Raw genomic sequence first — 12,836 nt, 5'->3', positions numbered from 1 at the left:
ACACTAAGGAACCAGGAAAGCTAGGTTCAGAGCTCTGGGGCCTGGACACTGACAAATTATAGTCCCAGCTCCCACATTGGACAGGATCCTTTAATTTCTCTGAGCCTTAGCTTCCTCTGCTGCAAAATAGGAATAACAATAATTCTGACTGCTTTCTTTTTCTTTTTCTTTTCTTTCTTTCTTTCTTTTTTTTTTTTTTTGAGACAGTCTCGCTCTTGTCACCCAGGCTGGAGTGCAGTGGTATGATCTCAGCTCACTGCAACCTCTGCCTCCTGGGTTCAAATGATTCTCCTGCCTCAGCCTCCTGATGCTTTCATTTTTGTGTAAAACACTTGACACATTGTAGTTGCTCAGTCAATGACAGACCTTGCTATTATTGCTTAACTTTCTCTTTCAGCTCAATTTTGACGGAATGATTTATTCACGTTATTTCATTTATTTATTCATTCAGCCAAAGAGCCAACACACACCTACTAGGTAAGCCACAACAGTTAATAAAGTTTTTGGAGTTAGGTAAGAATTGAAACCCTAGCACTGCCGCTAGTTGGTTGGATAACTCTGGGAGAGCCATTTCCCTTCAACAAGCCTCCATTTCTTCTCCTGTAAAATGGGAACAGTAAATACCATCTCTGGAGGGCATTGGGATGTTATAAAGAGTCAGTGGCACTTGAGGCCAGCAGTTTGAGACCAGCCTGGGCAACATAGCAAAACCCCATCTCTACAAAATATTTTTAAAAATTAGTTGAACATTGTGATACATGCCTGTAGTCCCAGCTACTTTTAGGTTGAGGCAGGAGGATTGCTTAAGCCCAGGAGTTCAAGGTTACAGTAAGCAATGACAGTGCCACTGTACTCCAACCTGGGTGACAGAGCAAGACTCTATCTTAAAAAAAATAAAAATCCCAAAATAAAAAGCGTCAGTGGGACAGTGGTGTGAAAACAGCCAGTGCATAGCCACAGATGGAAAAACAGGTGGTGGATGGGCTGCACAGAGAAGCCAGGCAAGCTTCTGGCAGAACAGGCCATGCTGGGAGCTCCCGGCAGTCAGGTCTCCAGAGACAGCCACAGGATAAGGCAAGGGCAGGAGAGAAGAGTCGGCAGGCTCAGAAACGATTTCCAGGTTTCTGGACCATGGCCCCCTCCCTTTCTGATAAACTGACAAACAGTGAGGAAATGCAAAAAAAGATTGTAAGAATTTTAGAAGAGTCCCAGCCACACAGGGAGTCGAGGGGAGTGTAGAGTTCCACCCACCCAGCCAGTCACACACACACACATACACTGGAAGCTGGGCATTCTCACTCTCACGTACACACCCAGGGGCTTGGCACACACACAGATGCACCTTCTGGGGCACAACACTTTATAGTTTGCAAAGGGCCTTCTCATTTTTCATCTCATTGATACTGAGGGGTGGAGAGTTTCCCTGAATATGACCCATTCTAGAGCTGGCAAGAGATGAGAGTCCCAAATATCTTCAAGAGGCCGGGGCTGAACGCATGGGCTGGGCTGCCTGTTTTCTCTGTGTCGGTGTCAGCAGAGCTGAATGGCAATAGAAACTCTGGAAAAGTTTTAACCCAGCTCTCCCAGATAGGCCCTTTCACCCTTAACAAGTCACACCTGGACTCAGGGACTTTTTTTTTTTTTTTTTCCAAACCACTCTCACGGGGCCAGCTCCAGGCTGTCTTAAGATTTAGCTGGAATGGCAGAGGTGAGAGGCTTCCCAAGGGCCTCCTCTGTGGACAATTATTTGATCACTAATCCTTCCTACTCATTCCCTCAACCAAAGTTCCTGGGGAGCTCTGAGGGCAGGGCCCAGCCTCCTCCGTGAGGACCCCTCTCCAGATACTACACTTAGCAGTGTTCACATACGCAGGGAGAGACCACGGTTGCCCCCATTTTAGAGAGTAAGAAATTGAGGCCCAGAGAGGAAAAGTGCCCTTGCCAGCCATTTGCACTCCAACCAAGACCTTTGTGGCTCCGAATCCTGACTGAGCTATTCCACTTCTCCAGCAAGGCACGGCGCAGCACCAATGTGTCCATCTCCTCCCCGCCCCCACTGACCCCGTCCTGCGGTGCCTCGTCCCTCCATGCTGTGCAGTCTGCAGGCTCCAGGCATAGCCAGGCGGAGGAAGGAGGAGGACCCCAGTGCCTGCCCTACTGCCACTCTTGCCTGTGATGAGCCTCGGTGGCTGCAAGTGGACTGCAGTTACTCAGGAAGCTCCTAGGGGAGCTGAGGGGCGCAAGCCCTTCCAGGCATGGACCCAGAAAACTCACCCAAGAGTTAGCAAGTGCCTCGCTTGCAGTCCGTGAAGTGCTGGAGCAAATTCCCACTCGTGGAGCAGCCCCTGCTGCCAGTCAGTTCTGTGCCTGAAACTGTCGCGTGCAATGTTCTGGCAGAAGTCTGGAGAGGCAGCAGATGAGGAAACCGAGAGACCTGGGGAGAGGAAGTAACTTGCCACAGCACAGAGCTGGCAAGCAGCAGGGCCAGGACTCGAATCCCGAGAACCCTGAAGCTCCAGTCCTTTACACCAATGCTGACTCATCCTCTACCCAGCTGCCCGCAAGTCACTTCATTCACCCTCTGTTTGCTCACTCAAACAAGCAGCATCACCAATTTAGCCCAAGGGACTGTTGGGAGGATGGAGTGAGATAACATTTCAGGACAAGGGCCTGGCACAGGGAAGGCACGCATTGGGTGGCTGTTTTTTATCCTCCTCCCCATTATCACCCCAGCCCTCTCCTGGCTTCTCTGGAGTCTGGAGATGGCCCTGCTTCTGCTCATTGCTGCCGCAGGAAACCATTAACCTGGTTTTCTCAGCAGTGCCTGGAAGGTCCGTTAAGAGAGGCTGAGACCCCGAGATTAATGGCTCTGTTATCTGTGGCTCCAACCCTATGGATCCAGACAACTCCCACCCAGGGATGAGGATGGCACTGAGGGAGGAGAGAGACCCTCTCATACTGTTTTATACTCGGAAAAGGAAAGAGAAGCGAAACTAAAGGCAGGTAGCCCGGCGCCTAAAAACCAGACCTGAAACCAAGGAACCAGACCCGAAACCAAGGAACCAGACCCGAAACCAGGCCTGGGCCTGCCTGACCTAAGCCTGGTAGTTAAAATTCGACCCCTGACCTAGCAGCTGTTGTTATCTATAGATTCCAGAGATTGTATGGAAGGACATTGTGAAACCTCCCGTTCTGTTCTGTTTCACTCTGACCACCGGTGCTCGCAGTCCCTATCATGTACCCCCTGGCTTGTTCAGTTGATCACGACCCTCTCACGTGGACCCCCTTAGAGCTGTGAGCCCTTAAAAGGGACAGAAGTTGAGCACCTGACGAGCTCAGATTTTAAGATGCTAGCCTGCCGATGCTCCCAGCTGATTAAAGCCACTCCCTTCACTATCTCAGTGTCTGAAGGGTTTTGTCCGCGGCTCGTCCTGCTACAGCACCGAAGATGGAGGGTGATGCCGGGGGGGAAAGGCTGACCCCAGGCAATCCTCCCCTCCCCAGCGCCAATCCATCCTTGAGCTTGGGCTTGATGAGGAGAAGGCAGCCCGGGCGGCTCTACCTGGGCCCATGGTGGGCCCTCCCCGTCTGTAAGATGACTCTCCTGCTTCCTCCTCCTCCTCTTCTTTCTTACAGGTACTTATTGGCCACCTACTCTGTTCGGGTAATGTTCAACGCACTTGAGGTCAAAAAACAAAGTCCTGCCCTTGAGACACCTGTAGTCTAGCAGGGGAGATTAGTTTCTTTTGGTTAATGAGTAAATATATAGCAGGCCAGATAGTGATAAGAGCAGCGATATAGAAACATAAAGGAGGGTAAGGGGCGGAGAGCTAGGGGGCTGCAGCCTCGGACAGGTGGACAGGCCCCATCTAGATTTGCCAGATCACCCTCTCCCAGCCACCTAGCCTGGAGGAGACCCTCCCCCAGGCCCCAAGCCCCCACTCTGTGCCAGGCTCTGCCTCAGTGGATCTCAGCAGCAGGCTAGTGCGAAGACTGGGACTCCCTGGGCACAGGCAGCAACTCAGGGCCACCAACGCTTTGGCAGGGAGCATCCCGAGCTTGTGCCCCACTCCCAGCCCTGGGGAAGCTCTCTGCTTCCTCTGTGGTCCAGAGAGGGAGCACATCCCTCAACCAATCCCCAATCCCAATATCCCAGTAGGCGAGAGGGCGCTGGACCCAGAGAGGGTCGGGACTTGCCTGGGTCACACAGCAAGGCAGAGCTCCCTCTCCTGCCCTCTCTTGGCATGTCCACAAAGGTAGGTTCAGGGGTGAGCCTCCCAGCACAGTGCTGGCCTGTGAGGGGCTGGCTGTGCCCCCCGTCAGCTCCTGGTAAAGGAGTGTGAGGTGTTTCTGTGGCAGGCCCACCTGGTAGTGCCAGCCTGCCCCACCCTCCAGGCTCTGACAGCCAAATTCTCCTACCCCAAGCCCCAGGAAGCTGAAGGCATTTTCCTTGCAACCCCAGCTCATGAGAGTTTTGGTCAACCCTGCCTCAGCTTGCTGTGTGACCTCAGGCAGTCCAGGCAGTCCCATCCCTCTCTGGCCTCAGCTCCCTCATCTGCCAAATAGAGGAAGTGAAGGCACTTACATATCAGGAGTGTCATGAAGAATGAGCAAGACACTGACAAGAAGGCAGTTTGCAAATTTTTAGACACTATCCAGATGACAGGCAAGCAGAAAACTCATCTGAAAACCAGCCCCTCATCCTGTGGGGCCCTGAGGTAGCCCCAGAGCAGGTCCTTGATCCTTGATGGGAAATAAGCACAAATTCCACAGAACCAGTTCTTCCGAAAAGACAAAGCCACCTCTGCTCCCAGCCAGCTGACAGGAAGGGCCCCTCCTCTGTCCTTGTGGTAAGAAGGTGTGGGGGGAGAGACGGGAAAGAGACAAGGCTGGGAAGGAGGCCTGGGAAAGCTTGTTCCGGGAGGCAGAGGCATAGCCCTGAGGTAGCCTTGAGAGCCACCAACCCCAGTCAGGCCCCCAGGCTGGGGGAGGACATGAATGCTGGTTGCACAGTGTCTGCCTGGGGGCTTGTCAGCCATGTGTACCTGTGCTGGAAGATGCGCATGCATTCACAAGGCACAGGTGTTTGGAATTGTGCCTAAGTATGTGTGTGTGTGTTTCTGTGAGTGGCTCTGGAGTGTGTACACCTGTTCACATACCTGTTTGCCCAGGCCCGGGCCTCTGCATGTGCTCCACACACATGCTGCTCCTGGGGAGCCCCGCAAACCCCTAGTCCACAGGCCTTATTTTCCCAGGCTCCGAAATCCTTATCATAATCTTCAAACTGTCCCAGATGTCACGGGAGATTTGTGGGGTTCCCAGGCTCTTGATTTTCCCCAGGAATAAAAGCAGTTACATAAGATGAGGAGGAAGCCTTAGGGGCTAACTTTCAGGCGCAGGCTCTCCCAGCTCAGCCCAGGGTGTAGGCTCCTCACGGGGAGGGGAGGAGTGCCCAAGGTTGAAGCCCCTTAGACCCTCCGTTGCCTGTGGGCACTGACCCCTCCACAGCCACCCTCCTGCACTCAGTCACCAGCAGGAAGCCCCTGGGTCCTTTACAATAAATCAGGTGCTTTACAGTTTACACCCCACATGCCCTTGCTGGGTGATGCTCACCACTAGCTGGCCAGGCTGACCTTCACGTCCTACCCCCGAGGCCCTGCCGCCAGGCAGCCACTGCTAGCTCAGTCCTAGTGTCTTCCTTCCTGGCTCTGGGCTGGGCTCACAGTTCAGTACTGGCTACTCCCTTGGGTGGGTCTCACCCCTTCCTGAACCTTGGTTTTCTCAGCTGTGGAATGGAGCTGTTCCGATCCACATGAGTCAAGGGCTGAGAAGGGTCTCTGTAGCCTGTAATGAGGCCCCTGGCAGGCAGGAATGGTCTCGTGCACATCCCTGGCCACCGCCCATTGGCCCCTTGCTGCTCCCAGGAGTCAGGAGGGAAAACACCACCTTCAGCCCTCTTGACTGAAACAGGAGGCTGCCTAGCCCTGGTCCGTGGGAGGAGATGTGGTCCCTCTGGGATTCAGATCAGATCCTAAAAAGAGTTGGCCCACTTCAAGCTTGCAGGAAGCATGGTTGGTGGTCTCCTTGGACAGGAGGAGACTGGACATCTTTTTTTTCCAGACAGGGTCTCACTCTGTCACCCAGACTGGAGTGCAGTGGTGCAAACACACAGCTCACTACAGCCTTGACCTCCTGGGCTCAAATGATCCTCCTCAGCCTCCCAAGTAGTTGGCACTACAGGCATAAGCTACTACGCCTGGCTAAATTTGTATTTTTTTTTGTAGAGACAGGGCCTTTCTAGTTTGCACAGGCTGGTATCGAACTCCTGGTCTCAATCGATCCTCCTCCCTCAGCCTCCCAAAGTTTTGGGATCACAAACGTGAGCCACCATGTCTGGCCAGGGCTAGGCCTTCTTGCTGAGCCACAGAGGTTTTCCCTCTCTGCAGCCTGAGCCCCTCATACTGTCCAGAGTCTGGGGTCTGCTGTTTGCCTTCCATCATAGGAAACCACAGAGAGGCCACAGAGACCTAACAGAGTTGTAAGGAGCACATGCCTGTGGGTGCAATTCTGCACTGGTGCATGCACAGCACACCCAGCCCCGGAAACAGCTCCACATAACTCACACAGGTTCACACATACATATGCACACGTGCCCTGGCACCTGCCACACTTGGGAACACACCACCCACGGCAGGCACGCAGGCACCATCACATGCATGGACCCACTTCCAGCCAGCTTACATAGTGTTCTAGCTTAGCTCAGCAGCAAGTTGCATGTGAAGAGCTTTCATAACCAGGAAAGAGATGGGAGAGGAAGAGCTGAGTCCTTGGATGCCCAAGCCCTTCCTTTGCCCCTCCCAGAGAAGCTAACAGGTTTCCCCAAGAACACAGATGGTTTGTCTGGCTCACCCTCTTCAGCCATCCCACATAAGTCCTGGTCAGAATACTCACAGAAAGTAGGCAAAGGTTTCTATGGGAGGATTGTCCCCAGCTTGCTCAGTCAGCTACCAGTCCTGCTTGTCGCCAGCTCAAGGCAAGGTTTTAAGCTAATCACTGTGAATTTTGGAGCTCTCCACCCCCCAGCCTATGCTGAGTTCAGACATGGCTGTGCATCAACGATGCTGCTCCTGCTGGCTCCACAGGAGTCTTTTCTACAACCTGAGGTCTCTCAGAGAGAATGAGGTTTGCCTTTGAGGTCTCTTCAGCCCCATTTCTTGTTCTCTCTCTCCTTCCTTTTGATGGCCTTGCAAGGTGCCCAGTGACTCCACAATTCCCTCATCCTGAGGGGTGCCTACAATCCAAGATCTGAACCTTTCTCTGCTCTAGGGCCACCGTCCCCTGAGAGCTGTGAGGTACTCCCAGCAACTCTGCTGCTCTGATGAGGAGGGGCCTCTGGGTTCACTGTCATCCACCCCAGAGAGCATATGGCCATTTTACCAGGCACCTGCCTCTACTCCAGGCTGGCTTAGGCAGGGAGGAGACCTTTTCTGGGGCTTCTCACATGATTCTGCTGAAGTAACCTCTTCCTTGGGAGTTTATAAGTTTACAAGAGTCAGACTGCCAAAGCCAGGGCCAGAATCCTCCAACATTGGAGCCAGAATTGGGGAATGTTACAGCTTTGGAGTGTAGAAAGTTGGAGTTCGAATTGTAGACTTCTAGAATGTTTGAGTAATTATAGACTCTTAGGGCTAGGGGTGTGGAATTATAAACAATTATAGCCAGAATTGGGGATTAAAGGAAATCAGGGCCAGAAGTGACGACAGCATCACTTGGTCCCACCTCCCTGACAGCTAAGAAGACAGCTGGCCTTATCACTCAGAAAGTCAGGGCTGGGCCAGGCCTCCTTCTCCCCAGGAGGGCTCTGTCCAGACCTTCCAGAGAAGCTCTCAGGGCCTCTGGGGCAGCAGTACTCCCTGTTAGGGACAGTGGGGACAGTGGCTTGCCTCTGTGGTGCCCGAGGTTGCACTGGCCCATCATGGCACCCCGTCACCATGAGATATATTTAGGTTCCCTCCCCAGATGTTTCCACAGCTCCCAACACTGCCTTTTATGTCCCCTTGTCCTCCAAGGCCTCCGGGCAACTCCTCTAAACTGACTCAATGAAGTCAACAGGAACAGGGGCACTTGCTCTGCCAATGCAGAAGTTTTAGCCCCAGAAACAAGGCTCAGCCTGCGGGGAGCCTCCTGGTCCACTTCTGCTTGCAGCTCAATGCTGACCTCACAGCCTCCCTTTCAGCTCTCAGGGCCTGTCTTGGTCCAGGGACTAATATTCCTGATCCTGTACTGGACTTTCCTCATTCCAGGCAGAGGGCAACCCAGGCTCCTGCCCCTGCCAGTTCCCAAACACACACATACACAGGGCCAGCATTTTTCGGTTCCTCCAGGGTTTGTCAGGACTGAGAAGCCTCCATCCAAGCCCATGGCTGCCCCTGCATTTCTCCCCCAACCTCTCTCCCACGCTCCATCCCAGGCTTTGACAGAGACCTGCATTGTCCTCTCCCAGACTGCATCTTCCCAGGAAGCAGGTGGTCACTGAGAATTCAACAAGGATTCAGTCTGGGAATGGGAAAGGATCCCTCAGAGATACTCAAATAGGGACTCTCTGATTCCTACCCACACAGCTTATTGGAATCACTGGCTCTGTGAAAACTGAGAGTTCCTGGGGTGGGCAGGGACCCAGTTGTGTGGGGGTCACCATTACTATCATCATAGTTTTGTCACCAGCTGTTAGGATTTCTATGTATCAGAGATTGTGCCAGCCACTTAATATCCAGGCACTCAGTCAGTCCTAAAAATAACCTATGAGGCAAATACTATCCACATCTACATTTTACAAAGGAAGAAACTGAGACACAGTGAGGTTTTGCCCAAAGTTCTGCAGATAAAGTGCCAGAGCCCTTTTGAAGCCTCTCTAATATTTCTGCGTTTGCTTAAATCAAATTTGAACCAAGCTTGGATGACACAAACACCTAACTGTCTCAGGAGGCAGCCTGCTAGGGGAACCCCCTTCTTCGTGGTCCCCAGGGTCCTGCAGCCCCTTCCTGCCCAGGCAGTGGAGAAGAGGCAAGAAATTCACTGATGGTCAGGGTTCCTCCTCAGAAGCCCAGCTCTCCTGCCCCTGCCCCAGGAGTGACCCAAACAACTCCCCCCCACCCCGCCCTGCAGCACACACCACATACCCAACATCACCGCCTCACTCCTGCTGAGTCCAAGTTCTTACATCTCAGTTTGGGAGACAGGCAGGGGATTCCCACCACAAGATAAACCCAGCTTACCTCCAAGACTTGAGCCAACTCATTGGATGGTAATTTATCAGAACAGTGTTTTTATATGCAGAAATATTATAGAAGAATGCAAAATCCACAGGAATTTTGGAAGATAAAAAAATGAGATTTCGGAGCAGCTTCTCTTGTATGTGCATGTGTTTGTATGTGTGAGAGGGTGAGCCTGGGACCTGTCATACTTTCTCCACCCAGATCCGGGTGAGCTTTCACTCTCCCAAGCCCTCCCGGGCACTGGGTGGAAAAGGCAGAGCCACCACGGAAAACATTCTGTCAGTGTCACCCCTGCACAAATGTGCCCCACCTTCCATCACCCAGCTCAGCACACCACAGGGGCCACGGATGTGCCACACAAAACACACACCTCACAATTCACACAACGCACACCCAGTGCACCACCCTGCCATGGCTCCCGCCACAGAGTGTACATGCACCGTGGACCCCTGTGTTACCCCAGCACAGTCACTCAGAGCTATAGAGAGTTGCAATGCACACTTCTTGCAGGCAGACACACACTGTGATCCATGGGTCACACCTTGCACATACCGCACACTAACCGCATACAACCCATTAACCCATTGCTCACAGTAATTTCTTTTTTTTTTTAGACGGAGTCTTGCTCTGTCGCCCAGGCTGGAGTGCAGATCGCGCTCACAGTAATCATTTACACATTGCCCACACTACACACATATGCAGGGACTCACCCCCGGCACCCGCCCTGACTGGCCGCGACCCTGGAGTGGGCAGGCCTCCCTGTATCCCCGCGCCCCGGCACCCCTTACCCCTGTCCCTGCCCGCGCACGCCCTTACCTGCGCCGCGCAGCACCAGCTGGTCCGGCCCAGATGTCACTCGCCCAGGCGCTGCTAGGAGGCGAACCCGTCAAATGAGGGGACCGTGTAGACGGCGGCAGCAGCTCCGGCCCCAGCGTCCCTGGAACCCAGAGGAGCCAGAGCAAAGCGGCAGGGAGGGGCTGTGGCCAAGCGGCCTCCGCACCGCTGGAGTCCCGCCCAGCGGCCCGCCCTCGTGGGATGACGGGGAGGTGATGTCTGGAAGAGGCTGCAGGCCTCTGGGGACCGCTCCTGGTCTGGGACCTGGGACCGGTGGACTCCAGTCCAGAATCCTTCACGACTTTACCTTTCCCTGGCCTCAGTTTCCCTCTTTGTATTGATATGTGTGTGGGGGGGGGCTGGGTATCAAATGGTGATTTCTCCCATCTTTCCAGCTCTGACATTCTGCAGTTCTGGGATAGTGGGGAGGAGGGAGGAATAATTTTAATTATTATTTCCTTGAGCACCTACTATGTGCCAAGCACTGTGCTAAGGTGTTCTAATGCATACCTCATTTAATCCTCATAGCAATTCTGGAGGTATTATTACTCATATTTTACAGGCAGGGAAACTGAGGCACAGAAATGAAGTGACTTGTTCAAGGTCACACAGCTGGTAAGTGGCAGACCTGAGATTTGAAGCCAGGTGGTCTGACTCCAGAATCCAAGTACCCCTGAAGCGTGGGTTTGTAACACTTTCCACACCATACCCTGCTTCCTCCTCTTCATAACAATCCCAGGAGCTTGGTGTTACCAGTCCATTTTACAGATGAGGAAACTGAGGCTCAGGGAGATTAGCTTGCTCTGGGTCACTCAGCTAGTGGGACATCACACTAAAGATGGGAGTGGGGATGGGAGTGATGCTCAGGATGGTGTCAGGACAGTGCCTGGTACACAGTTGGTGTCTCATCAATGTCAGTGTTCCTCCTAACTGTCACTCTCCTTCCCTTTTTCCCTTTTATCGCCTAAAATCTGGCTGGTGGACAGGGACCTCTGACTCCCTCATCTCTGAAACCTCCTGGATCTGCTGTCCCCAGATACAAACCAGCTCCTCCTCTCAGCCCCCATTGTGGCTTTTTATTCAACAATTACTGTGCCAGGTTGTGTGCTAGGCACTGAGGGTGCACTGGAACAACATTCCAGACAGTGCAGGCCTTGTGGAGTTGGTAATCTAGTGGGAAACACGGACATCAAACAAATAGTCACACAAATTTCATACATAGTTGCATATTGTGTTAACTGCTAAGAAGGAAAAGTCAAGAACTGGATGAAAGACTGTCATGGGGAAAGAGGCCATCTAATTTAAACTGAGAGATCTGGGAAGGCTTCCCAGAGGAAGAGACATTTAAGCTGAACCAGGAGAAGGAGTTAGACTTAGCCAGGTGAAGGTAAGGGGAAGAGAATCCTAGGCAGAAAGTACACTGAGGCCCCAAGACAGGACAGGTCTTCCCTTCACTGTCAATGTTCTTGAGAGAGGTGACAATTCTTGGACTCTTCTCTGCAGTGCCCTGCCCACCTATCCGGTCTCAGCTCCTGTAGCAACTACAAGACGGCCCTGCCAAGTATCCAGTGACCTCCATGTCTCTGAAGCAATGCACACATCTTAGTCACTCCACCGGACACTTTCAAAATTCCCCATGTGGGCTGTACAGCTCCCTTCCTTGTTCTTCCTCCACTTCACACTCTTCCCTAGGTAGCTCTGTCTCTGTCCTCCCCAGGGTTCTGCCCCACCCTTTTCTTGCTCACTCTGCACGTTCTCCCTGGGGAAGGCACTCATTCTCCTTATTCTCCTTTTATTCAGCAAATGTTGGATTTCCACTATCTGCCAGGATTAAGGAACAATTTTTTAAACAACAACAGCAAAAACAAAGAAAATTGTAAAGGAAAATATTAATAAGCTCAGAGTAATAAAAAGTTATGTTTGTACAAAAACACTAAAAAAGGAAAAAAGCAAGAAGACAGACTACCGACTGGAGATTATTGCAATGCATGTAACAAAGGATTATTATCCAGTATATAAAAATAACTCCTATACGTCAATAGGAAAAAGCTAAACAACCTAACAGAAAAATGATTGAAAGACATGAACAGGCATTTCACAGAAAAGAAAGCAATTATGGCCAATACACATAAGAAAATATGTTCAACCTGACTATCAACCAGGGAAATCTAAATTAAAACCAAATGAAATGATACCATTTCATGCATATCTGATTATCAAACTTTTTAAAGTTTGATAATTGGTTTGGTTGAAACCAATTCCATTCCTCCATTGCCCTAGACACACTTCTACATGTGGCCAGAGGGTACCCTACTGGACAGCAGATATAGGATATTTCCGTCATCACAGGAAGTTCTAAAGCATTTAAAACACTGACTACTTCATTATCTAACACTGAATGTGCTGCGTTTTCTCACATACAGAAGTGCTCCTGATTCTGCTGATTCTACTCAATTAAAACAAAATTGGCTTGGCTTCAACCAATAATTGGTTATTCAGCAAACGTTGAAACCAATTATTTGGTTGAAACCAAACGCACTTTGTTTGAATTGGCAGGAATTTTTACATACTGCTGGGAACACAACCAAGTTGAAGAACAATCTGTCAATATCTAGGAAAAGTGAAAATGCATAGCTTAAAACTGAACCATTCCACTTCAAGGCATATAATCAGGAGAAACCCCTGCACATGTATAAAGATGTACATCACAGCACTGTATCTTTTTAT

The 12,836-nt window shown here is 51.5% G+C and overlaps 1 protein-coding gene across 14 annotated transcripts in view, besides 4 other annotated features; it reads right to left on the bottom strand.

Moving 5' to 3' along the window:
• The window catches only part of P2RY6 (pyrimidinergic receptor P2Y6), a 34,120-nt gene extending 23,885 nt beyond the window's left edge, over positions 1 to 10,235 (bottom strand). For 2 of the 14 annotated variants that reach the window (NM_176796.3, NM_001277207.2), the window contains exons 1-2: positions 10,092 to 10,235; positions 2,275 to 2,434 (exon numbers count right to left, since the gene is read on the bottom strand). Coding sequence is in view for 2 of the 14 variants with exons in the window: in XM_011545076.3 (XP_011543378.1) it covers positions 2,275 to 2,434; positions 4,586 to 4,601 (176 nt within the window). In the remaining 12 variants the exon portion in view is untranslated. Of the gene's footprint in view, positions 1 to 2,274; positions 2,498 to 4,585; positions 4,848 to 9,275; positions 9,512 to 10,091 lie in introns of those variants that run through there. The other 12 variants (NM_176798.2, XM_011545076.3, NM_176797.3 and 9 more) reach the window with 9 other exon arrangements.
• Positions 3,165 to 3,957: an enhancer, noted in NCBI's record as "H3K27ac-H3K4me1 hESC enhancer chr11:72981829-72982621 (GRCh37/hg19 assembly coordinates)". NCBI's record gives its function as "activates a minimal SCP1, AML or CMV promoter by ChIP-STARR-seq in primed H9 embryonic stem cells {active_cell/tissue: H9 hESC(primed)}" and the evidence as "EXISTENCE:reporter gene assay evidence [ECO:0000049][PMID:30033119]".
• Positions 3,958 to 4,751: an enhancer, noted in NCBI's record as "H3K27ac-H3K4me1 hESC enhancer chr11:72981035-72981828 (GRCh37/hg19 assembly coordinates)". NCBI's record gives its function as "activates a minimal SCP1, AML or CMV promoter by ChIP-STARR-seq in primed H9 embryonic stem cells {active_cell/tissue: H9 hESC(primed)}" and the evidence as "EXISTENCE:reporter gene assay evidence [ECO:0000049][PMID:30033119]".
• Positions 4,332 to 4,381: an enhancer, noted in NCBI's record as "active region_5231". NCBI's record gives its function as "activates an Ori minimal core promoter by ATAC-STARR-seq in GM12878 lymphoblastoid cells {active_cell/tissue: GM12878}" and the evidence as "EXISTENCE:reporter gene assay evidence [ECO:0000049][PMID:35858748]".
• Positions 10,154 to 10,691: an enhancer, noted in NCBI's record as "H3K27ac-H3K4me1 hESC enhancer chr11:72975095-72975632 (GRCh37/hg19 assembly coordinates)". NCBI's record gives its function as "activates a minimal SCP1, AML or CMV promoter by ChIP-STARR-seq in primed H9 embryonic stem cells {active_cell/tissue: H9 hESC(primed)}" and the evidence as "EXISTENCE:reporter gene assay evidence [ECO:0000049][PMID:30033119]".

This window comes from Homo sapiens, chromosome 11 (assembly GCF_000001405.40).
Source record: "Homo sapiens chromosome 11, GRCh38.p14 Primary Assembly".
NCBI classification, from domain to species: domain Eukaryota; kingdom Metazoa; phylum Chordata; class Mammalia; order Primates; family Hominidae; genus Homo; species Homo sapiens.
Note: the sequence above shows the minus strand (reverse complement) of the source record. Positions and strands in the feature narration are given on the sequence as shown.